This window comes from Homo sapiens, chromosome 1 (genome assembly GCF_000001405.40).
Source record: "Homo sapiens chromosome 1, GRCh38.p14 Primary Assembly".
NCBI lineage: Eukaryota > Metazoa > Chordata > Mammalia > Primates > Hominidae > Homo > Homo sapiens.
In genome coordinates this window covers 170,173,679-170,200,850 of record NC_000001.11, presented here as the reverse complement: position 1 = coordinate 170,200,850, position 27,172 = coordinate 170,173,679, and the positions used below count along the sequence as shown (strand labels likewise).

Sequence of the window (27,172 nt, the reverse complement as noted above, 5' to 3'; positions counted from 1 at the left end):
ACTAGCCTATGTTTCGTTTTCCGTCCTGAATGTGAGGTTTCTTTCAGGGACCCAGCAGAAGTCCTGTAGGAACCAAGAAGTGATTAGAGGATCTACTCTCACTTAGAAAAGCTGCTTCTGTAGAATCTAGTTTGCCCTAGTTTTTCACAAAACTGAAACAGTCTTATTTCACGTAAGAGGCAAGGGAGTGGAATCATTTTCCTGGGTTGAAATTGCTTTGTCATTGCATAGATTAGCAGAAGATTTATATAATAAAATTCTCTATGTGAATTAAAAGACAGACATACAGAGGCAGAGACAAAGAGAAAGAGGGGGGAAGAACCCTTCTCCCTAACATCATCTTTTTATTTATAAAACACTACTAAGCTTATTGGCAGAAAGACACCATCTCATGTAACATTCAGGGTGGTCCATTTAAGAGAGTCCCCTTTAACACAGGACAGCTTTAAATGTGGCCTATTTTAAGTGGGTCACCAGATGTATTGTTTTGTTAGTCCTTCCTGGAATTGTAAGAGTAGGGAAGGCTTTCAGGGGCTGGGAGTATATGTGGAAATGCAAGAAGGCTGGTTGAGCTTTAGTACTGTGAGAATAAAGGAATCCATGAGGAAGCCTGATAACTGGGACATAAAATATAAGTAAATATGTAGGAATTTGTTCAGTATTAGTGCTAATATCTTTGCTTTCACAGGTAAGATTTTGGTTATTTGGTTTGGTTTGATTTGGTTTCATACCTCCTTGATGGTTGTAATTCATTCAGCAAAAATGTATTGACCATCTATGTGACAGCATTCTGCTGAATAGCAATAAAAATGCAAAGGCAATGTCATGTTGGGACTCAAAAGCAATACCCCAAAATGAAGGCAGCCTCAGAAGCAAAAGTTTTTCTCTGACCTTTCTTCCTTCCTGTCTCTCAGTCCCATTTTCCCATGAGGCTACCCATAGAAACTAAAATCCCTCTTCCCCAAGGCAGTTCATGGAAAGGAGAACCCCTTTTCGTCAAAGCCAGCCATAAAACCTTAAACTATTATTGTAACTTTCCCCTCATCTTTCTGTGTAAAAACTGCCCATAAAGAAATTATTTAATCTACGTTGTTTGACTATAGGTCATAGGTCCCCATTCCAGAGAGGGCTTTGCCCCATATCCAGGAGGAAGGAACACATGCTCAGGAGGCCAAGAAGAATCCAGACAAGCTTTGCTGGGTCTCCCCATTCAGTCTGCTAGCATTAGGTCATGCCTTTTTTGGCCCAATCATATTTCTACACTACTATCTATGGTTCTGTCTCATGAACTTAAGCATAAAAATAAACAATTTCCTTTATATCTTTGGATCTTCATTCTGAGGATATCTACACTACATGAAACTATGATCAAATAAATTTGTATGCCTTTTCGCCTATTAATCTGCCTCGTGTCAGTGAGTTTCAGCAAACCTTTAGAGAGTGAAGGGGAAGTTTTTCTTTGGACACAACACCTTCCAGAGCCCACATTCTAGAGTAGATAGATAAACAGATATATCCATTCCCCCCGAGGCTACCCATACAAAAATACAGCAAGTGAGGAGGAAAGGGGAGAATCAGGGAAGGTCTCTTTGAGAAAGTAGTTTTATAGCAGAGACCCTAAGGAAGTGAAAGGTGTATACTATGTGTGTACCAAGCAGAGGTAACAGCAAAGGCAAAGCCCTGGAGACCAGGGTGTGCTTGGCCATTCCTGGAACAGTAAAGAGGGAAGGGCCCAGAGAGCACACGTCCTTGTGAGCCTCTAGCTTTACTCAAGCCTTCCTAAAGTTAAAGATGAGGGAGAGAAGTGGCGTGGGGTAGAACTTGGGTACTCTTACTTATTGGAAAGTTGAAGTTGAGGTAGAGAGACAACCTGCTTCTGGCATCCCCAAGCAACTGATCACAGAGGATGGAATATGGCTAGCAAGGACTTAAAGAGTGAGGAAAGAAAGGAGAGATCTTTGCCCACTGAAGCTAAGTAAGTTAACTACTTTTAGATGGAAGACTAGGCAAGGATTACAATGTCCTATCCCAGCCAGTGATCATTTCCACATTATCCCTCATTTCAGAGCCTGCACAATTCTACTGTTGACATTACTGTGGAAACTTGGCTATATCAATAGGGTTATCTAAAGTTAAACCAAAATAAACTTTATCTTAGAAAGTTTGTTATTAAGGACAAAAAAAGGAAAAGACATTTTATTCATTGTTCTCTGTTTCAAACTCTCCATACTTCTCCTTCCTCCTCATTCTGCCATTACCTGATTCATTGGTATCTCCAGAGTTGAAGAGGTTCCTTCTCATTTTCTTTATTTCTTGATAAAAATATTTAAGTGACAAATAGATTGTATATATTCAAAGTGTAGAACATGATGACTTGATATTTGTAAACACTGTGTATCACCACAACCAAATTCATTAATACATCCCTCACCACCCATGCAATATATTAGATTCCCAGAATTTGTTCATCTCATAACTGAAAGTCTGTTGAAAGGCACTGAAGAGCAGAGACAGCATTTCTCTGCCATCCTGGCATGAAGGCCTAGATGATAGTCACTAAGGCTGGAATGAAAAGTTTTACTGGCAGGAACCTGTTGCCTCATCCTGATCTGTAAGTCTCAATATGAGATAATTTCTTTTCCTTCCAACTGGACTTTGACTTCACTATCCTTTTCTCTCTGGTATTGTTCACAAGCTTTTCACATATTCTGTAGGTCATCTCCCGGTTTGGGACTTATGATATGATTCCATCTCCTACTTTCAGCTCTGCCCTGAACAACTTAAACAAAAACAGACAAGTAAAAGAATGTCGGCTTTTAAGTTATTCATTTATTCAATTAACATTAATGAATACCTACTACATGCTAGCCATTGTGTCTAGGTGCTCGGAATGAAACTGGGAATAACACATACCTGGCTAATGTATGGTGTGAGAGAATGTGCAGACCAGAAAGGAAAATTATTCCGCTTCCAAATCCACTTATATCCTCTGATATTTATGGAGATCCCATCAGATCCCAGCAGTCCTCATTTCATAAACCTTCCCTAAGTGGGATCCCCAAAGGATTCAAGATTTACTAAGGAGAAAGATCTTCCTAGAGCCTCAAACATAAATTAGATGCTCCTACTCCCATTATTATCTTTCTTGGCATTTAACACAATTAAAACTATACATTTATGGGCCAGGCACAGTGGCTCATGCCTGTAATCCCAGTACTTTGGGAGGCCGAGGCAGGCAAATCACAAGGTCAGGAGTCTGAGATCAGCCTGGCCAATACAGTGAAAGCCCATCTCTACTAAAAATACAAAAATTAGCCGGGAGTGGTGGCATGTGCCTGTAGTCCCAGCTACTTGGGAGGAGAATCGCTTGAACCTGGGAGATGGAGGTTGCGATGAGCCGAGATTGTGCCACTGCACTCCAGCCTGGGTGACAGAGAGAAACTCTGTCTAAAAATAAATAAATAAATAAAATTATACATTTATTTGAGTGCATGTTTATTTCATGTCCACCCTTTACCAAATTTTCAAGTTACTTAAATCACTTTGTTACTTGTGTCCCCAGTGCCTAGCATAATGCCTGGCATAGGTACCAAAAAAATACTTGTCAGTTTATGGTTGAATGAAAAATTGAACAAATGAATCAAGTCCTTCCTGTTATCAGCTTGAAAGAGGACACCAAAAATTGAAACTAATCTTCTTACATGCTTCTCTGAAGGAGGGGCCATGATCATCACGCTTTAGATTTTAAATAATCCTGATGTTTCAGGGAAATTTAAAATTTAAATATGCCTGTTTGTATACTGAGTCACCTTCTTGCTGATCATCACAGGATTGAACTTACAAGGTAAGAGCATGATCTGAACATTGCACACCAAGCCCCAGACCAGGGCCTATGTTCAGGGTGCTCATCTTTCATTAGCCAAGGGTCTAATATCCTACTTTAGACAATTTGGGCTTCTGGCTTCTTAAACCAGTTTTTCTGGAACCAAGCTCTGCAGTCCCAGGCTCTGCTCACATTCCAGAGAGGGTTAGGGTTTCTCATTAATCTCTGTCTGGATCCTGTCCTCAAATTAGCGACCACTGAAATATAATCCCTGTCATGGGGAATGAAGAACTTGATCCATACAAAGTTAAGCTGAAGAACTGCTCCCTCTCTGAGACCAGTTGTCCCTGACTTCTCACTTCTCCCAGGCATAGCACAATGACTCAGGGAAGCCATTATTGCACTGTCACTACCAAGCAGCCATCCATCACTCCAAAAGGTTTATACAAGAGTCCTTTCTACATAACTTGACATTTTTTGCCCATATTTAGCACCAACAGAGAGCAGACTCCTGGAGTTGAGAAAGAAAAGGTACTTGGGTTCTGTATAGCTGAATTGATACTCTTTTCTCAGAATTAAAATAAAAGAGCAGGGTCTAGATAGGACCCATTCTGTGACAATTTGTCCTTACTTTTAGAACCTCATATGGCAGGTTTCGAATATGGAAGTGAGAAGAGTTGCCTAGAGCAAAATATGGAAATCCCAGAAAGTACTCAGAGACAGCATCAGGCCTCAGATGCTTAGAGGGGGCAGAAGTAACCTCTTCCAGGAGGTCTTGGTATAGTTCTTTTACAATGTAGCATGGTGATGAGGATCTCAGAGACTCACACTGCCAAGGTTCAACTCTAGCTATGTAACTTCTGGTAAGTTACTTACATTTTTTTATGCTTCAATTTACTGTTCTGTGAAACAAGATGAAAATGGTACCTATCTCTTAGGAATATTATGAGAATTTAGTATATTTAAAGCATTTACGGAAGTGCCTAGCAAATAGCAATACATATGTACGATTATTACTTAACATCAAAAGTCTGAGTTAGATGTTGAATTAGAACTTTCTAAAGTCAGCTCCATCTCTAAGTTTCAAGATTACAGATATCTTCTAATATACATACTATTTATAAAATTAGGGAATTTTATAAGCTTGCAAAAGAAACTCAATATAAATGATATTTTTACCACTGTAATGATTTGTACTATAGCAATTATCTTAAATCGATATATAAAATTATTTGTGTGTGTGTGTGTGTGTGTGTGTGTGTATGTGTGTGTTTATCCAGAAAAGGGGCCTATACTTTCATCAAATTTCAAATGACAAAAAGAAAAGTCAACTCTTCTGTAGTATTCTCTGAGACAGAGTGAATAGACCAAAAACCAAACAATTTAAAGTTCAGGTTACCTGTGTGGTTAAGTTAATTACCACACATATTTTCTTTAAATAAACAAACAAACAAAAATTACGTTTACACAATTTTTGAAATGTCTTAAATCTAAATAAATGGATTATAAATACTCAAATGAAGATAAAAGTTTATTAAATACCTCCTTAGTGCATATTGAGAGGAGTGATTTAATAATACACTATGTTAATGAAGAAGAGATGATAAATCTCTTTAAGACAAGTAAAGAGAGTGAAAGACCAAGAAAGGACAGGTCCAGGATTTGATCAGAAAAGGCTCAGAATGTCTTTCTGGATAATCTTCTTGTATGGTGAGCATTTGCCTCAGGCCTGGCCACAGGATTAGTCTTTCCAGTAGAGGTCTAGCTCTCTCAACCAGAGGTCTGCTGCCAGTGGGATCATCTCAAGATCTAGCACCAGCCCCAGCCCTCTTCAGAATGGCCATTCCTCTTAAAGATAATCTGAACCTCTCGATGCACATCAAGGAAATAGAAAAGCAAGAACAAATCATATTCAAAATTAGCAGAAGGAAAAAAATAATAAAGATCAGAGCAGAACTAAACAGAGATTTAAAAAAATACAAAGGGTCAATGGGAAGTTGTTTTTTTAAGAAGATAAATAAAATTGATAAACTGCTAGCTAGACTAATAATAAAAAGAGAGAGAGATGGTCCAAATAAAATTAGAAACAAAAAAGGAGACATTACAACTGATCCCACTTAAATACGAAGGACTATCAGAGAACAACTACATGCTAACAGGTAGTTATATATAATATGAAAAATTACATGTAATAAGAACAACTACATATTATATGTAATATGAACAACTACATGCTAACAAACTGGAAAACCCAGAGAAAATGAATAAATTATAGGACATGTACAACATTGAACCAGAAAGAAGTAGAAAACCCAAACAGGCAAATAATGAGTAATGAAAGTGAATCAGTAATAAAAAATCTCCCAGTAGAGAAAAGCCCAGGACTGGATGGCTCTACTGCCAAATTCTATCAAACTTACAAAGAAAAAATAGCACCAATTATCTTCAAAGGATTCCAAAAAATTGCAGAGGAGGGAATTCTCTCTAATTCATTCTAGCAGGTCAGCATCACCCATTACCAAAATCAGGCCAAGACATACACCAAAAAAAAGGAAACCACAGGCGAATATTCCTGATGAAAATAGATGCAGAAATCCTCAATAAAATGTTAGCAAACTTAAACCAACAGCACATCAAGAAAAGATAATACACTATGATCAAGTGGGATTTATCCCAGGGATGTAAGGATAGTTCAACGTATGCAGATCAATAAACATGATACATCACATCAACAGAATGAAGGACAAAAACTTTATGATCATCTAAATTGATACACAAAAAGGATTTAACAAAATTTGACATCCTTCATTATAAAAATTCTCAACAAACTAGGCATAGAAGGAACATAGCTCAACATATTGAATGCGGAAAAGCTGAAATCCTTTCCTTTAATAACTGGATCAAGACAAGAATGCTCCCTTTCCCCACTTCTATTCAATGTAGCAATGTAAGTCCTCATCAGAGCAATCAGGCAAGAGAAAGAAATAAAATGCATTCAAATTAGAAAAGAGAAAGTTGAATTGTCCCTCTTTGCAGGTGACATAATGACATAATATTGTATATAGAAAAGCCCTAAAGACTATACTATAAAACTGTCAGAATTGATAACAAGTTCAGTAAAGATGCAGAATACAAAATTAACATGTAAAAATAAGTAGCATTTCTATACACCAATAACAAACTAGCTGAGAAAGAAATCAAGAAAGCAATCCCATTTATAATACCTACAAACAAATGTACCTAGGAATACATTTAACCAAGGAGGTGAAAGACCTCTACAAGAAAAACTACAAAACACTGATGAAAGAAATTGAAGAGAACAAAAACAAATGAAAAGACATCCCACGTTTTTTGGAAGAATTTGAAGATTGGAAGATTTAATATCATTAAAATGACCATACTGCCCAAAGCAACCTACAGATTCAATGCAATCTCTATCAAAATATGAATGAAATTATTCACAGATGTAGAGAAACAATCCAAAAATTTGTATAGAACCACAGAATAGCTCAAACAGCCAAAGCAATACTGAGCAAAAAGAAGAAAGCTGGAGGTGTCGTACTACCTGACTTCCAGATATACTGCAGAGCTATAGTAACCAAAAGAGCATGACATTTGTATAAAAACAGACATGTAGATAAAACTGAACGGAATAAAGAACCCCCAAATAAGTCCACATGTTTACAGCCAATTGATTTCTGACAAAGGTGCCAAGAACATACCCTGGGGAAAGAACACCCTCTTCAATAAATGATGCTGAGAAAACTGGAAATACATATACAGAAGAATGAAACTAGACCCCAAACTCACACTGTATACAAAGAATCAACTCAAAATGGATTACAGGCTTAAATGTAAGACTTGAAACTATAAAACCACTAGAAGAAGATATAGGGGAAATGCTCTGGGACATTGATCTAGACAAAGATCTTAGGGAGGGCTAAGATCTCAAAAGCACAGGCAGTGGGAAAAAAAATGACAAATTAGACTATATTAAATTAAAACTCTTCTGCACGGCAGAGAAAACAATCAACAGAGTGAACAAATAGCCTGTTGAATAGGAGAAAATATTTGCAAACTATTCTTCTGACAGGGGGCTAACATCCAGAATATACAAGAAGCTCAAACAACTCAACAGCAAAAAACAAATAATCTCATTAAAATGGGCAAAGAATCTGAGAAGACATATCTCAAAAGAAAACATACAAATGGCCAAGCAGTATATGAAAAAATGCTCAACACTATTAATCATCAGGGAAATGAAAATCAAAACCACAATGTGATACCATCTTACCCTAGTTAGGATGGCTATTATCAAAAAGACAATAAATTCTGGAGAGGATGTAGAGAAAAAAGGAACTTTTATACACTATTGGTGGGAATGTAAATTGGTACAGCCATTATAAACAACAGCATGAAAGTTTCTCAAAAAAGTAAAAATAGGAGAACTTCTGGCCAACATAGCCAATTAGGAGGAGCTGCAGTCTACAGCAACACAGAGAGAAATGAAAGGGGCTAGTGAATACAGCACCTTCAACTAAAATATCCAAGTTCTCACATAGGGACTGATTAGGGAAACAATTCAACACACAGAGAACAAAGAAAAGCAGGGTGGGATGATGGCCCACTTGGGAACAACATGGAGCCAAGGGAACCCCCAACCACACCCAAAGGGAGTGGTGAGTGACTGTGCGACGCTGGGAAACCATGCTTCTCCCATTGATCTTGGCAACCTGCAGATCAGGAGATCCCCCTGTGGCCCACGCTATCAGAATCTTGGTTCTGACCCACAGAGCTGTGTGGAGTCTTGGCAGAGCAGCTGCTCAGGCACGCAGAGAGACCCAGGAGCTTTAGATACTCTGGCCTCAGGAACCCCAACAAACATGTCTGCAACTCAGGCAAGGTGGGACAACTGCATGCACGCTAGGAAGGGGCAGAATCCAGGGAGCTGAGAATCCAGGGAGCTGAGCAGATAAGACCTACTGGCTTGGAATCCCAGCTTGGTAGCTACCAGCAACAGAATGGAATAGGTCTGAGATGGGACAGAGCCCCGGTCGGGGGTTGGGGGTGAAGGGCAGGCACCATCTCTGCTGTTTGGTCAACTCAGCAGTTCCAGCCTTTGGGCTTTGGAGAGTCCAGACAGTCTGAACGAGGAAGGGTCTCCCCACCAGCACAACATAGCGGCTTTGCCAGATCATTGGCAGACTGCTTCTTTAAGCAGGGACCTGACCCACTTCTCAATGGGCAGGATCTCCCAGTTGGACCCTACAGCCATGCCTGCCAGCAGGTATTAGGGAAAGAGTGCTGATCTCTCCCTGGGATAGAGTGCCTGGGGATGGGGAAGGCTGCCACCTGGGTTGGTTGGATGACAGCCATTCCAGCCTGTGGGCTTTAAAGAGTCCAATCTGACAGGGGAAAAGGCAGTTCCCCACCACAACACAGCTGTTTTGTGGAGGCATGGCCAGACTGCTTCTTTAAGCAGGACCCCCAATCCACTCCTCCTCATAGGGTGTGTCCTCCCATCCAGGGCCTTCAGACACCCCTGCCCATGTTCTCCCTGGGACAGAGTGCCTGAGAGGCAGGGCAGGCCACCACTGTGGTTATTCGAGCTTCTTAGCTGGTCCAGCCTGAGGGCCTTGGTAGACCCCAAACCCATCAGACACTGAAGGGATCTCCGACACCACAAAGCTGCTCTACCAAAAAGCAGCCAGACTACTTCTTTAAGCTGGTCCATGATCCTGTTCCTCCTGACTGGGTGAAACCTCCCAACCAGGGTCTCCAGCCACCTCCTACAGGTGTGTTCCAGCTGGCGATAGGTCAGTACTTCCCTGGGAAGGAGCTTCCAGAGGAAGGGCAGGCTGCCATCTTTGATGTATTGCAGCCTTCACTGATGATGCCTCCAGGTATGGGAAAAACTGAGGCAACTAGGGTTTGGAGCAGACACCCAGCAAACTGCAGCAGCCCTATGGAAGAGTCAGCAGGCTGTTAAAAGAAAAACAAACAAAGAGAAAACAACAACAACAAAACCCCACAAAAACCCCATCTAAAGATCAGCAACCTCAAAGATCAAAGGTAGATAAGCCCGCCAAGATGAGAAAGAATCAACACAAAAATGCTGTAAACTCAAAAAGTCCCCATTTTCCTCCAAATGATCACAACACCTCTCCAGCAAGGGCTGAGGCTGAGCCTTTGGGCTGAGGCTGATGGCTGAAATGACAGAATTAGGCTTCAGAAGGTGGGTAATAATGAATTTTGCTGAGCTAAAGGAACATGTTGTAACACAATGCAAAGAAGCTAAGAATCATGATAAAACAACACAGGAGCTGACAGCCAAAACAGGCAGTTTAAAGAAGAACATAACCAGCATGTTAGAGCTGAAAAACACACTACAAGAACTTCACAATGCAATCACAAGTATTAATAGCAGAATAGACCAAGTGCAGGAAAAAAACTCAGAACATGAAGACCATCATTCTGAAATAAGATAGGCAGACAAGAATAGAGAAAAAAAATGAAAAGGAATGAACAAAACCTCTGAGAAATATGAGATTATGTAGAGACCAAATCTATGACTGATTGGGGTACCTGAAAGAGACAGAGAGAATGGAAGCAAGTGGGAAAACATACTTTAGGATATCATCCAGGAGAACTTCCCCAACCTAGCAAGACAGGCCAACATTAAAATTCAGGAAATGCAGAGAACCACAGTAAGATACTTCATGAGAATATCATGCACAAGAGACATAATCATCAGATTCTCCAAGGTCAAAATGGAAGAAAAAATGTTAAGTGCAGCCAAAGAGAAAAGCCATATCATCTACAAAGGCAAGCCTATGAGACTAACAGTGGACCTCCCCACAGAAACCCTACCAGCTAGAAGAAATGGGGGGCCAATTCTTTAAGAATTCAACATTCTTAAAGAAAAGAATTTCCAACCCAGAATTTCATATCCAGCCAAACTGAGCTTCATAAGCAAAGGAGAAATGAGATTATTTTCAGACAAGCAAATGTGAAGAGAATTTGTTACCAATAGGCCTGCCTTGCAAGAGCTCCTGAAGGAGCACTAAATATGGAAAGTAAAAATCATTACCAGCCAATACAAAAATACACTAAAATACACAGACCAGTGACACTATGTAGCAACCACATAAACAAGTCTGCAAAATAACCAGCTAGCAACATGATGACAGGATCAAATCCACACGTAACAACACTAACCTTAAATGTAAATGGGCTAAAGGCCTCAGATAAGAGACACAGAGTGGTAAGCTGGATGAAGAAGCAAGACCATCAGTATGCTGTTGTCAAGAGATCCATCTCACACATAATGACACACACAGGCTCAAAACGAAGGGATGAAGGAAAATTTACCAAGCAAATGGAAAACAGGAAAAAGCAGGGGTTGCAATCCTAGTTTCTGGCAAAACAGACTTTAAACCAACAAAGATCAAAAACAAAGGGTATTACATGATGGTAAAGGGTTCAATTCAACAAGAAGATCTAGCTATCCTAAATATATATGCACCCAATACAGGAGCACCCAGATTTGTAAAGCAATTTCTTAGAGATTTTCAAAGTAACTTAGACTCCCACACAATAATAGTGGGAGACTTTAATATCCCACTGACAATATTAGACAGATCATTGAGAAAGAAAATTAACAAAGACATTCAGGACTTGAACTCAGTTCTGGATCAAGTGGACCTGTCAGATATATATAGAACTCTCCACCCAAAAACAACAAAGTATACTTTCTTCTCATTGCCACACAGCACTTACTCTAAAATTGATCATACCCAGAAGTAAAACACTCCTTAGCAAGTGCAAAAAAAGCGAAATCATAATAAACAGTCTCTCAGACCACAGCACAATCAAATTAGAATTCAAAATTAAGAAATTCACTCAAAACCATACAATTACATAGAAAGTGAACAACCTGCTCCTGAATGACTCTTAGGTAAATAATGAAATTAAGGCAAATACCAGGAAGTTCATTGAACCAATGAGAACAAAAATACAATGTACCAGAATCTCTGGGGCACAACTAAAGCATTGTTAAGAGGGAAATTTATAGCACTAATGACCACATCAAAAAAGCTAGAAAGATCTCAATTTAACAACCTAATCTTACAACTAAAAGAACTAGAGAACTAAGAACAAACAAACCCCAAAGCTAGCAGAAGACAAGAAAAAAAAATATCAGCTGAACTGAAGGAGACAGAACACAAAAAAGCCTTCAAAAAATCAATGAATCCAGGAGTTGATTTATTGAAAAAAATAATAAAATAGACTGCTAGCTAGACTAATAAAGAAAAAAAGAGAAGACTCAAATAAACACAATCAGAAATGATAAAAGGGACATCACTACTGACACCACAGAAATACAAACAACCACAAGAGAATACTGTAAGCACCTCCATGCACATAAACTAGAAAATCTAAAAGAAATGGATAAATTCCTGGACACATACACCCTCCCAAAACTGAACCAGGAAGAAACTGATTCCCCAAATAGACAAATAATGAGTTCTGAAATTGAGGCAGTAATAGCCTACCAACCAAAAAAAGCCCAGGACCAGATGGATTCACAGTTGAATTCTACTGAAGGTACAAAGAAGAGCTGGTACTATTTCTACTAAAACTATCCCCAAAAAATTGAAAAGGAGGGACTCCTCCCTAACTCATTGTATGAGGCCAGCATCATACTGATACCAAAACCTGGTAGAGATACAACAAAAATAGAAAACTCAGGCCAATCATAATGAACATTGATGCAAAAACCCTCTATAAACTGAATTCAGCAGTACATCGAAAAGCTAATCCACCACAATCAAGTAGGCTTCATCCCTGGGATGCAAGGTTGGTTCAACATATGCGAACCAATAAATGTGATTCATCACATAAATAGATCTAAAGACAAAAACCACGTGATTATTTCAATAGATGCAGAAAAGGCTTTCAATAAAATTCAACATTCCTTCATGTTAAAAACTTTCAGCCAGGCATAGTGACTGGCTGGGTGCATTGGCTTACACCTGTAATCCCAGCACTTTGGGAGGCCGAGGCAGGCAGATCACTTGAGGTCAGGAGTTTGATACCAGCCTGGCCAACATGGTGATACCCCATCTCTACTAAATATACAAAAATTAGCCAGGTGTAGTGGCGCACACCTGTAGTTCCAGCTACTTGGGAGGCTGAGGCAGGATAATCTTTTAAACTTTGGAGATGGAGCTCACAGTGAGCTGTGATCATGCCACTGCACTCCAACCTGGGCAACAAAGAAAGACTCTGGCAAAACAAAACAAAACAAAACAAAAAACCTCTCAATGAACTAGGTATTGAAGGAACATAGCTCAAAATAATAAGACCAATCCATAACCAATATCACACTGAATGGGCAAAAGCTGGAAGCAGTCCTCTTGAAAACTGGCACAGAACAAGGATGCCCTCTCTCACCATTCCTATTCAACATAGTATTGAAAGTTCTGGCCAGGGCAATCAGGCAAGAGAAAGAAATAAAGTGTATTCATACAGGAAGGGAGGAAGTCGAACTATCTTTGTTTGCAGATGACATGATCCCATATCTAGAAAACCCCATTGTCTCAGCCTAAAAGCTTCTGATGCTTCAACAAAGTCTGAGGATACAAAAGCAATGTGCAGAAATTACAAGCATTCCTATACACCAACAACAGGCAAGCAGAGTGCCAAATCATGAATGAACTCCCATTCACAATTGCCACAAAAAGAATAAGATGCCTAGGAGTAAAACTGACAAGGGAAACGAAGGACCTCTTCAAGGAGAACTACAAACCACTGCTCAAAGAAATCAGAGGTGACACAAACAAATGGAAAAACATTCCATGCTCATGGATAGGAAAAATCAGTATTGTGAAAACAGCCATACTGCCCAAAGCAATTTATAAATTCAATGTTATTCCCATTAAACTACTGTTGACATTCTTCACAGAATTAGGAAAAACTATTTTAAAATTCATATGAAAATGAAAAAGAGCTTGAATAGCCAAGACAATCCCAAGCAAAAACAACAAAGCTGGAGGCATCACAATATCTGACTTCAAACTATACTACAGGACTACAGTAACCAAAACAGCATGGAACTGGTACAAGAACAGACACATAGAACACTAGAACAAAACAGAGAACCCAAAAATAAGACCACACAGCTGCAACCATCTGATCTTCAACAAACCTGACAAAAACAAGCAATAGGGAAAGGATTTAATATTTAATAATTGGTGCTGGGAGAACTGGCTAGCCATATGCAGAAAATTAAAACAGGACCCCTTCCTTACATCATATACAAAAATCAACTCAAGATGGATTAAAGACTTAAAGGTAAAATGCAAAACTATAAAAATCCTAGATGAAAATCTAGGCAATGCCATTTAGGACACAGACACAGTCAAAGATTTCATGGTGAAAATGCCAAAAGCAGTTGCAACAAAAGCAAAAATTGACAAATGGAATCTAATGAAACTAAAGAGCTTCAGCACAGCAAAAGAAACTATCATCAGGGTGAAGAGACAACCTACAGAATGGAAGAAAATTTTTGCAATCTATCCGTCTGACAAAATCCTAATATCTAGCATCTACAAGGAACTGAAACAAATTTATGAGAAAAAAACAAATAACCCCATTAAAAAGTGGGCAAAGGACATGGACAAACACTTCTCAAAAGAAGACATACGTGGGACAAACAAACATGAAAAAAAGCTCAACATCACTGATCATTACAGAAATGCAAATCAAAACCACAATGAGATACCATCTCATGCCAGTCAGAATGACTATTATTAAAAAGTCAAGGCCGGATACGGTGGCTCACACTTGTAGTCCCAGCACTTTGGGAGGATGAGGTGGGCAGATTGCTTGAGCTCAGAAGTTCAAGACCAGCCTGGGAAACATGTTGAAACTCTATCTCTACAAAAAATACAAAAATTAGCCAGATATGGTGGCACATGTCTATGGTCCCAACTACTTGGGAGGCTAAGGCAGGAGGATCACTTGAGACCAGGGGGCAGAGGTTGCAACGAGCCAAGATCATGCCACTGCACCCCAGCCTGAGTGACAGAGTGAGACCCTGTCTCAAAAAAAAATGTCAAAAAGCAACAGATGCTGGTGGTGAGGTTGCAGAAAAAAGGGAATAATTATACATTGTTGGTGGGATTGTAAACTAGTTCAACCATTGTGGAAGACAGTGTGATGATTCCTCAAAGACCTAGAGGCAGAAATACTATTTAACCCAGCAATCCCATTACTGGGTATATACCCAAAGGAATATAAATCATTCTATTACAAAGATGCATGCACGTGTATGTTCGTTGCAGCACTATTCACAATAGCAAAGATATGGAATCAACCTAAGTGTCCATCAATGATAGACTTGATAAAGAAAATGTGGTACATATACACCATGGAATACTATGCAGCCATAAAAAGAAACAAGATCATGTCCTTTGCAGGGACATGGATGGAATTAGACACCATTATCCTCAGCAAACTAACTCAGGAACAGAAAACCAAATACTACATGCTCTCACTTCTAAGTGGGAGCTGAATGATGAGAACACATGGACACATGACAGGGAACAATACACGCCAGGGCCTGTCAGAGGGTGTGAAGCCAGGAGGGAGAGCATCAGGAATAATAGCTAATGGATGTTGGACTTAATACCTAGGTGATGCGACACCACTTAGGTGCAGCAAACCACCATGGCACACGTTTACCTATATAACAAACCTGCACATCCTGCACATGTACCCCTGAACTTAAAAAAAAAAACACCTAAAAATACAAATACCATAAGATCCAGCACTCCAGCTGCTAGATATTTATCCAAAGGAAAGAAAAGCAGTATACCAAAGGGATACCTGTACCCCTATGTTTTTTGCAGCATTATTAACAATAGCCGAGATATGTAATCAACCTAATAGTACATCAGTGAATAAATGGTTAAAGAAAATGTGGTATGTACACAATGGAATACTATTTATCCATATTAAAGAATGAAATGCTGTAATTTGCAGCAACCTGGATGGAACTGGAGGTCATTATGTTAAGTGACATAAGCCAAGTACAGAAAGACAGATATTGCATGTTCTCACCTGTATATGGGAGCAAATAAAAGAAAAAAAGCTGATTTCATAGAGGTAGAGAGTAGAATGAGAGTTACCAGAGGCTGGGGAGGGAGTGATGAAGGGAGGTTGGTTAATGAGTACAAACATAAAGTTAAATTGAAGGAATAAATTCTAGTGTTCAATAGCACAGGACAGTGACTATAGTTAATGACAATACATTGTATATTTCAAAATAGCTAGAATGAAAGATTTAAAATGTTCCCAACATAAAGAAATGATAAATGACAGAGGTGATGGATATCCTAAATACCATTATTGATCATTACACATTGTATACATGTAACAAAATATCACATGTACCACATAAACATGTACAAATATTATGTATTAATAAAAGATAATCAAAATTTAAGAAAAGAAAAAATAATCTGAAGAATCTTCTGACATTATAAGTGAGTGGGACAAGAATCTTGTTGGGAGTGAAGGGGAAAGCCATTACCCTCACTCAGGTACACTCAGGAAAATTACTAAATCAAGTTTATGAAGCTCTACTTGCTCATCTACTTCCAAGTTTTTCTCATATACAATCAAATGTTTCAATCCATCTCTTCTTACAACAGAGTCATATAAATAAATTATTATAAATATAGTCTTTTCATGTTTCCCAGACATCATCATATTTGTGGTGTTTATTTTGAGAGTACAGACTTTTATATCAGCAGCACTGGGATCCAATTTGTGATTGGTCCTTTAACCAGTCACATGACCTTGGGCTATTTCCTTAAACTCTCTAAGGCTCAGTTTCTATACTTATAAAGTGCAAACACCTATCTCACAGGGCTGTTGAAAGAATTAAGTAAAATCACAGATGTAAAGAACTTAGCATTCACTGAGTGCTTATTACTATTATTTTCCCACCATTTGAAAGGAAATTCCAAAGGGCTGAAGTGAGGAAGAGACAGAGAAAAGTTCTCCTCATGTACTTTCTGATCCAAGGAAAGGCCAAACAGTATCTCGGAGATAAACTTACACTTCATTTCAATAAACAGATATGTTAATTTGCTCACCCATTGTAGTAATTTCACTATGTACACCAAAATAGCATGGTGTTCAACTTAAATCATACGATTTTTAAAAAGAAATAAATAGTGGATAGACTCAGAGCAATACTCAGAAAGGCCTACAGAATAGGACTCAAAACGTCACTAGATATTTCATTGTTTGATGGGCCTGGTTCTCATAATTTAAATTTCCATTCTAACAATACATATTGTCAAAGAACATCTGGTAGATACAGAGGGCCTGTCTGCCACATTACTTTTTCCTTCTTGACAAATATTCCTAGAGGCGGTGAGAATCAGACATTCTTCCAGGACATCCTTTCGTTCTTCTTGCAATAACCCAAATCCTTTCTGTACACGTATTTAACCCAAAGGTGCAGGAAAATTGCAGCCTTCTTATTCTTGCTAAGGTTCCAAATGCAGGTGTGAACTGACTTCCCAAGAAAGTCTTCTAAAGAATTCCTCTCAAGAGACTGCTTAAGTATATCTCTAGGGCATAGCATGGACATATTACATGTATTTAAATTTTCTTATTGTTTTCTGATCTTAGTCACTGAAGACAACGAAGACTATGAAGACACTCAGGCACTGAAGATAATTTTGGAGTGCCTTCCCAGCTTGCCTCCTCCTTTAAATGTGCTCCTCACCTATAGCTCATAGCTGTGTTACCAGAAAGGGGTCTCAATCCAGACCCCAACAGAGGGTTCTTGGATCTCAAAAAAAAAAAAAGAATTCAAGGAGAGTCCATAGAGTAAGTTGAAAATGAGTTTATTAAAAAAGCAAAGCAATAAAGCATGGCTATTCCATAGGCAGAGCAGCCCCCAAGGGCTGCTGGTTGCCCATTTTTATGATTATTTCTTTATTATATGCTAAATAAGGGGTGGATTTTTCATGCCTCCCCTTTTTCATGCCTCACCATAGAGGGTGACTTCTTGACGCTGCCATGGCATTTGTAAACTGTCATGGTGCTGGTGGGAGCATAGCAGTGAGGAAAACCAGAGGTCACTCTCATTGCCATCTTGATTTTTGGTGGGTTTTAGCCAGCTTCCTTACTGCAACCTGTTTTATCAGCAACGTCTTTATGACCTGTATTTTGTGCTGACCTCCTATTTCATCCTGTGACTGGGAATGCCTTAACTGCTTGGGAATGCAGCCAGTAGATCTCAGCAATATTTTGCCCAGCTCCTATTCAAGATGGAGTTGCTTTGGTTCAAAGGCCTCTGAGAGTGGGGGGTGGACAGAAAGAGAGAGACACAACCATATTGCACAATGTGACCTTACTCCCTGGCCACAGTTGATTGATAGGAGAAGAAGTGAGACTCTGCCAGAACAGTTGGTGACCATTCTCAGTGAAATGGGAATTGAAAGCAAGGGCAAGGGCTACCAAGACAGAGATAGTCCATCACTCCATCATTCGTTCCCTGTGGCTGAATACAGAACATGCAAACTGGGAAGCTGAGGGTGCCCATGTTTTCTGTTATGTGGACTAGGGAGCAGAGAATGCCACCCACAAGGAAAGAGAAAACTCAAGCATATGTTCAGAGCAAAGCAAAGCTTGAATAGAAGAGTCTATTTCCTGGTTTCCAGCAGCTTTCTCATCTCTGGTCGCATCCCAAGGTCTGGCTGCATTCTTGCCACTGAGTTTTATATCACCCTTGCATCCATATAATAAACATTCCCCTTTTCACCTAGCTCAACCTGCGATCCAATCATTGATGTAATTGATATACTGAGCTTCAGTCATCTTTTCCCAGGACCTTGATTTTTTTTGTTGTTGTTGTTCTGAATGTATTATCTGACTCTTCTATCTTCTGTTTCCCTTAGAGTGCTCTGGCCCTACATTTTGTACACAGGGAGGTATGTTTCCCTACTTAGGGGCCACATATGACTAGACTACCTTACCTGCACTTATATTGCCAGTTTGCTTACATCTAACATGGACTCTTTCCTTTCTAGGGAAGTGCTTATTACCCCACTCCTCAATTTCCATAGAGAGGCAAAGATTTCCATTCCACTTCCAGGAGAGATCAGTAAGGGAAGAGGGGACATTTCTGTCCCTTTTCTATATCTTACTCATTCCTTCCCACAGTCAAAGTAGTGCTCCTCTCATTAGGATTTGGAAAAGTGATTAGACTCACAAAGCAAGCTGTGGTCTTTTTGCTTGCTCCTGTTTCACTGTGGAAAGAAGGCATAAAGATGTGGCAATCATTTTCTCCTTTCCTGTCAGGGCCATCCATTCTCCCTGGATCAAGGGAGATTGCAGATCTCTTTGTATCTGTCTTGGCAAATATTAACCCATCACACTAGACTATTTTGTTTTGGAGAGGGGATGGGGTGCAGCAGACAGGCAGGGGTAATCATATCCCAAGATCTAGACTTGTGAGGTAGGAAGAGGTAGGATGTGGGAGGAAGAAAGTTTGGAATGCCGATCCAAGATGCATTCTCCAACTTTGCTTTATATATAGTAAAGTAATATGTGATCCTTGGTCCTCAAGTCTATTTCTAAATTGACTAAATCATTTAGATAAAAGAATACGATTGGTCTCTTGGAATCCTCACCAGTGTTGAAAATATCTCTTGGAATCCTCACCAGTGTTGAAGATACTTTAAGGAATGTCTAGTTGCGTGAAATAAATAAACATCTATCTAGAGAATAAGGTGTATGCCTTAGGGCTCTGCGATGTTATTGCCTATTAAAAGATGTATAATCTGTCAGTCCATCTTAGTTGTTCTCCTTTATTCCCTAAACTAGTAAAAGGTAATATATTTTACCCAGTGGCTATAGTCAAAAACCTTCAAATCTTCCTTGATTCCCTTCTTTGCCTCACTAACCACATTCAAACAATCACCAGCTCCTGTTGATTTTCCCTTCCCAATGTTTCCTCTATCCCTTGAACAGCCTAAGTTCAAACCCTTCTACCTGTAGTTTTCATTATTGCTGTAGCTTTCTAGTTGCCTTCTTTGCCTCTACCTCTCTTTCTACACTGTAGCAAGATTTATTTTTGTGAAATAATCTGATGAGATCAGTGCCCTGACTAAAAACCTTAGATAGTCTCTTTGCACAATCTGCCCCAACCTAGCTAGTCTCAGCAACTTCGTTTTCTTCCATCTTGCTTTACCATGTCCAGATCTCTCTACATCTGTAACCACCATGCTTCCACTTGATAATGCAGCCATGTGGATATATTCACCATATCTTAAATTACATGTCTTTTCACATGCAATTAAATGCCCAATGATTTCCCTATGCCTGAAATATTCTTTCCCCAGACTCTACCTCCCTTATCCACTTATCCTTGGAGTCCCATGTAAAAATTTAAATCATATGTGCAGTAGGTTCACATTTGCTCCTCATTGCTATTTCCAAACTATTCTCTTTCTTTCTCTCCTCACTAAGTACTCTAGGGGTTAATCTCATATAAATCATATTACCCATTATCCCTCATTGTTTATGTCACCAACCAGCCCCCAGGTAATACCCCTTTATTTCCCACTGATTTTAATGCTTGGTTCACTTTCACCCTATCCAATACCACTTATGTCTTGATTCTTGGATGATTGCAATACACCCATTAGAGATTCCGTCTAACACTCTAGCCTCTCAGTTTGCTAAACTCCTCTTTTTCAGTGATCCAACCCTCATACTACCTCAGCCATATGTTTATATGTTTAGAACCCTAGACCTTCTCATCACCAATAATCCCTGTATAATCTCAATTTAGTTTATCCCATTCTCTGACCATAACTTCCATCTATCACTTTATTCCCTCTAATTCCTCAATTCCAATTTCACCAGGATCTCCAATCCATTCCTCTTCCTGTCTTTTCACTGTCTGTAACCTCATTAATATCCTCTCTTTCATACTTACTCATCTTAAATTCCATGGTTAATTAACATATTCACTCATTTGTATACACTCTCAATTCCTTGTCCCTGCTATACGCACTTGAAAAAATCACAACCCTGCTTAAATTTATCATTGTGCCTACAACCATGCAAAAGAATGAGCTGAAGACAAATGCACAAGATTATGAACCTTAAGTTAGCCTGTCTGTTGCTTGATGATCATACTATACTTTTCCAATCCATTCATTCTACCGTATACTTGATGGCTATTTTGTTCTTTCTCCTCTCTTCTCAAACCCACAATACACCATCTCAATCTTTACTCTCAGATAATGATCTTTTTTTTCTACTTCACTTAGAAAATTAAAGCAGTAAAAAAAGATTTCCATAGACTCCCACCACCCCCTCCAGAATCTGCACACATAAACTCCCACCTGCTTCTAGGGAGGATTTATTTATCCATGTTCCTATTTAAAATTCAATCCTCCCATTTGCAAACCAGATTCTATCTTCTCTTAACTACTCAATGACATTACTCTAGCAATTCCTTTCTTAAATCATTAATTTCTCCATCTCTATCAAATCTTTCCCATCAAAATACATACACACGATTAAATTATTTCTTCCACCTTCACCTCAAACTATAAGAACCCTAGAAGAAAACCTAGGAAATACCACTCTGGACATTGGCCTTGGAAATAATTTATGACTAAGTCCTCAAAAGCAATTGCAACAAAAACAAAATTTGACAAGTGGGACCTAATTAAACTAAAGAGCTTCTGCATAGCCAAAGAAACCATTAACAAAATAAACAGACAACCTACAGAATGAGTGAAAACATTCACAATATGCATATGATGAAGTTCTAATATCCAGGATCTACAAGGAACTTAAACAATTCAATAAGCAAAAAATAAATAACCTCATTAAAAAGTGGGCAAAAGACATGAACAGACACTTCTCAAAAGAAAACAAACCAACAAACATGAAAAAATGCTCAACATCACTAATCATCAGAGAAACGCAAGTCAATGCCACAATGAGATACCATCTGACACCAGATAGAATGGCTGTTATTAAAAAGTCAAAAAACGACAGACACTAATGAGGCTGCAGAGAAAAAGGAATGCTTATACACTGCTGGAAATAATGTAAATTAGTTCAGCCACTGTGGAAAGAAGTTTGGAAATTTCTCAAAGAACTTAAAATGAAACAACCGTTCCACCCAATAATCCCATTACTGGCTATATACCCAAAGGAAAATAAATCATTCTACCAAAAACACACATGCATGTGTATGTTCATTGCAGCAATATTCACAATAGCAAAGACATGGAATCAACCTAGGTGTCCATCAATAGTGGATTGGATAAATAAAATGTGGTACATATACACCATCAAATAATACATGGTCATAAAAAAGAATGAACTTATGTCCTTTGCTGCAACATGGATGCAGCTGGAGGCCATCATCCTAAGTGAATTAATTCAGGAACAGAAAAACAAATACCACATGTTCTCACTTGTAAGTGAAAGCTATGCATTGGGTGGTCATAGACATAAAGATGGCAACAGTAGACACTGGGGACTCCTAGGGTGGAAAGAAGAGAGGTAGGCAAGGGTCAAAAACCTATTGAGTACTATGCTCACTACCTGGGTGACAGAATCAATCATACCCCAAACGTCAGCATCACCCAATATATCCATATAACAAACCTGCACATATACCCCTGACTCTAAAATAAAAGTTGAAATTATATGAAAAATTATTTCTTCCATCTTAAAAACAAGAATCTTTCTCTTAATCCTACTTCCCTTGCCTGAAATTGCCTTATTCTTTTGCAAATTTGTCTCCCTTTCCAGCAAAAACTCCTTGAAAGAGTTTTCTGTACTCCTTCTCTCTAATTCTTCTCTTTCCAAACTTAATTATATCTATTCCAATCCAATTTTTGGTCCTACCTAGTCTACCAAAATTGCAATAGTCAATTATCAGTTCTCTTCTTATTTGACTTATCAGAAATATTTGATATATTTGATTCCTCTGTCCTCCTGGATAAACTTTCTTCATTTGGCTTCCAGAACACCCTACTCTTGATTTAATTTACTGGTCTACTTTATTGGTCATTCCTCCTTAGTATCCTTTAATGGTTTTTCCTTTTCTTCCCAAACTTCATGATTATGAGTTCTAGGATTCATCCTTTGTTCTTTTCTCTGTGTTTACTCATTCCTTTGGTAATCTCATCCAGAATCATGACCTTAAATATCAACTCTATGCTGATGGCTCCCAATATTCCATCTTCAGCCTAGTAGTCTCTTCTGAACTTAGATTTGCATATTCAATTGGCTCCTCAACATTTTCACTTGGTGTCATCCCAACACTCACCAAGGTTGAGTTTAAGCTGCTCTAATTCTTGATCTTCTTTCACCATGAAAACTGTTTTACCACCAACTTCCCCCATCTCAAATGATAGAAACTATGTTCTCCTGGTAGTTCAGGCCAAACATTTGACACTCATCTTTGACTTTTCCTTTATTACACCCTCCCACCCAATCATTCAGCAAATCTAGTTGGTTTTAATTTTGTATATATGCAGAACCCAAACACTTCTCACTACTTTCGGTGGTACACCCTGGTCTGAGCCACCATCACCTCTCTCCTGAAATGCAGCAATATTCTAACATAGGGGACAGCAACGTTTTTCATAGGGAGTGATACAGTAAGTATTTCTTCGTTTCATGGGCCATACAGTCCTTGTGGCAACTACTCACCTCTATTATGGTAATGCAAATGGGCCTGGCTATGTCCCAATAAAAGTTTATTCACAAAAAGCAATAAGCCAGATTTGGATCATGAACCACAGTTTACCAAGTCCTGGTCTAACTGGTCTCCTTGCTTCTATTCTTACCCCAGTTATCATTTCTTGACACAGAAGCGAGGAATCTTTTTAAGACACAAGTCATATGTCACTTCTCTGCAATGCTCCCCTTCTCAGAATAAAAGTGAAAGTCGTTTCAATGACCTACAAGATCCTACATAATCTTGCCCGAGTCATATCCTTGAACCTCATATATGACTACACTCTTTCCCTCATTCACTGTTGCAGCTGCACTGACCTCTTGCTGTCTCTCAAATGGGCCAGGTACACTTAAGACTTAGGGCATTGCACTAGCTGTTCCCTTTTTCCCCAGATATCAACATGGCTTATGCCCTCATCTTTGCATTTTTTTTCTCAAATGCCACCTCTTCAATGAAGCCAATACCAACAACTCTTTGAAGTTACAAACAACCCCCCATGAATTTCAATCCCCCTCTTCTACTCTATTCCCCCCAACACCACTTTCTAACATAAAAATAATTTACTTGTTTATATTTATGACCTCTCCACCTCTCCTAGAGTATAAGCTCTACAAGGCCAGGGACCTTGGTTTTATTCCTTGATGTAGCCTGAGATCCTTGAGCAGTGCCTGGCACATAGTAGGCATTAAAAAATGTGTTGAGTCTGGGCACGATAGCTCATGCCTGTAATCCCAGCACTTTGGGAAGCCAAGGCAGGTGGATCACTTGAGCTCAGGAGTTTGACACCAGCCTGGGCAACATGGCGAAACCCCGTCTCTACTAAAAATACAAAAAATTAGCCACATGCCTGTAATCCCAGCTACTTGGGAGGCTGGGGCACGAGAATCACTTGAACATGGGAGGCGGATGTTGCAGTGAGCCAAGATCATGTCACTGCACTCCAGCCTGGGCGACAGAGCAAGACTCTGTCTCAAAAAAACAAAACAAAACAAAACCAAAAAATGTGTTGAATGAATGAATCTCTGTAACCTCCCTCAAATCCCAGAGATGGAGTTACTCTTTTACCTATTTTTTTTAACTTTTTGTACATACCACTCATTTAGTCCATTTTATCCTGAATTATTACTATCATTTATGTATCTATATGTCCCATTACTGACCCATGATCTTTTAAGACATTTTCTATATGTTTATTTGCTGAAACTAATACAGTGTCTGTCATGCAACAAAAGGTCAAATTGTGCCAACTTAATGAATGTACAAAGGTGCCATATACACGTAGTTCTCCGACACCAAATTACTAGTTCTGGAAGTCAGCTATTGTTTTAAAAGTCTCTCTTCAACCCCCACTCTAAATACATGTATGCTCACACTCCACTAATAGAGATACTTTAAAACTATTTTTCACATATTTGCTTAATTAGCTTGCAGTGACCTCTGCAAAAACACTGGCCTCTGATGATTATAAGAGGTAGTTTTTTGGCATGGACACCAAAGCATCAAAGAGTCAGCTGGAACTAAGGAAAGCAATAACACGACTGGTTTTAATTACTCATGACAGGCAGCTGAAGATATCTGACACAGGCCTTCTCTCCAATACATCACTCAAAACAGGCCAGTTACAGGAAATAGTGGAGAGAAAAAAAAAATAAAGATGGGGCCAAAATGTGTCCATAATACAAAGCAGATCATCTTTCACATGGATGACCTTATTCACTTTGTTTTATATTTTTATGATGGGCTCAAATCTATAAAACTGCTGATGCTTTAAGACTTTGCATGCTTCTATGCCAGTGCTTAGGAGTGGTGGCTCAGGTTCTCGAAAAGAGAGGTAGATGAAGAGTGCACCCATTCATGAATCACTATATAAATCAAGAGGTCCTCCAAAGTTCATCTAGGATTGCAGGCATGTTTGCAATTAGCTCATCTGTGACATCAGGTGAGCACCTTCTAATCAACATTCACAGAAGGATTAACGTCATCTATAACCTAGTTAGTTTCTTCTGACCTCTTGCATAGCAGGAAATGAGTGAGGATTTTGTTACTAATATAACCTACTCACAATTTCAACATATCTCTCTTATCAAGTCTACACACTCACCTAATGAAACTGTGGACTTCAGATTGCTCATATCCTCGGATTGTCTCCTCTTAAAAAAAAGAGAGGGCCGGGCACGGTGGCTCAGACCTGTAATCCCAGCACTTTGGGAGGCCGAGGTGGGCAGATCACCCTAGATTGGGAGTTTGAGACCAGCCTGACCAACATGGAGAAACAGTGTCTCTACTAAAAATACAAAATTAGCCAGACGTGGTGGCACATGCCTGTAATCCCAGCTACTCGGGAAGCTGAGGCGGGAGAATCACTTGAACCCAGGAGGCGGAGGTTGCGGTGGGTGAGTCGAGATCGCGCCATTGCACTCCAGCCTGGGCAACAAGAGTGAAACTCCGTCTCAAAAAAAAAAAAAAAAAAAGAGAGAGAGAGAGAGAATGAGATTTCATAACTAGACAGGATTTTACCTCAGGATCCAGTCTTGCTACAGTCTTCTCCCAGATGCTTGCCTGATCCCAGTGTGCACCGAGCTTCTTGTTTCTGTGCACTTCCTGATTCTTGCCGCTTGCATTGTACTGTTTTGACCAGTCTTGCAAACCGTAGTTCTCATGGAACTTAAAAAGGCCTTCGTTTTTCCTGCTGCTTTCTCTAATTCCCGTTTGATGCCTTCAGAAATCAAGATTATCCCAAGTCTTTCTACTTTTTTATCACCTTGCATTATATCAGCAAAGCTTTTGAGTTCCTGAAGTGTACTAGGGCCCGTAATAGAGACTGAGACTCTAACCATGAATACTCCCATCAGGGAGCTCAGAATTTAATAGAGGAAATGGCAAGTAAACAGACGATTATGAAGTCACGGAAGTGCTGTGATATGGTAAGCAGAAGGGTTCCCAGAATAGGGGTACTTAGCCCAGCACCTGGGGAGTAAGGGAAGCTTTACTAGAGTCAGCAACATCTAAGTGGTGTGGGCCTGACAAAAATAAAATAAAATATATATGCCAAGGAAGTAACATGTAAAAATGCCACAAATTATGGCTCCCTAAGGGACCTACAAGTACTTAAGTACAGCTGCTGGAGTGGAGAGGGAAGCCAGGGCCAAATCACAAATGGCTTTATATGCCATTCTAAGGAGATAGAAATTCATCCTCTTGGTGGTGGAGAGTCATTGAAAGTTTACCATTAAGATGATGCTAGCCTCATAGAATGAGTTGGGAAGGAGTCCTTTCTGCTCAATTTTTTAGAATAGTTTCTGTAGGAATGGTACCAGCTCTTCTTTGCACATCTAATAGAATTCAGCTGTGAGTCCTTCAGGTCCTGGCCTTTTTTGGTTGGTAGGCTATTTATTACTGATTGAATTTCGGAGCTCATTATTGGTCTGTTCAGGGAATCAATTTCTTCCTTGCTCAGTCTTGGGAGGGTGTATGTGTCCAGGAATTTATTCATCTGTTTTAGGTTTTCTAGTCTGTATGTGTAGATGTGGTCATAGTAGTCTCTG

At 39.3% G+C, this 27,172-nt stretch overlaps 1 long non-coding RNA gene across 1 annotated transcript in view; it reads right to left on the bottom strand.

The window, feature by feature from the left end:
* The window catches only part of LINC01681 (long intergenic non-protein coding RNA 1681), a 67,192-nt gene extending 40,720 nt beyond the window's left edge, over window positions 1-26,472 (bottom strand). Inside the window, exon 1 of the long non-coding RNA NR_146891.1 lies at window positions 26,145-26,472. This is a non-coding gene — a long non-coding RNA (long intergenic non-protein coding RNA 1681). The remainder of the gene's footprint in view (window positions 1-26,144) is intronic.
* Between the last annotated feature and the right edge of the window lie 700 nt (window positions 26,473-27,172).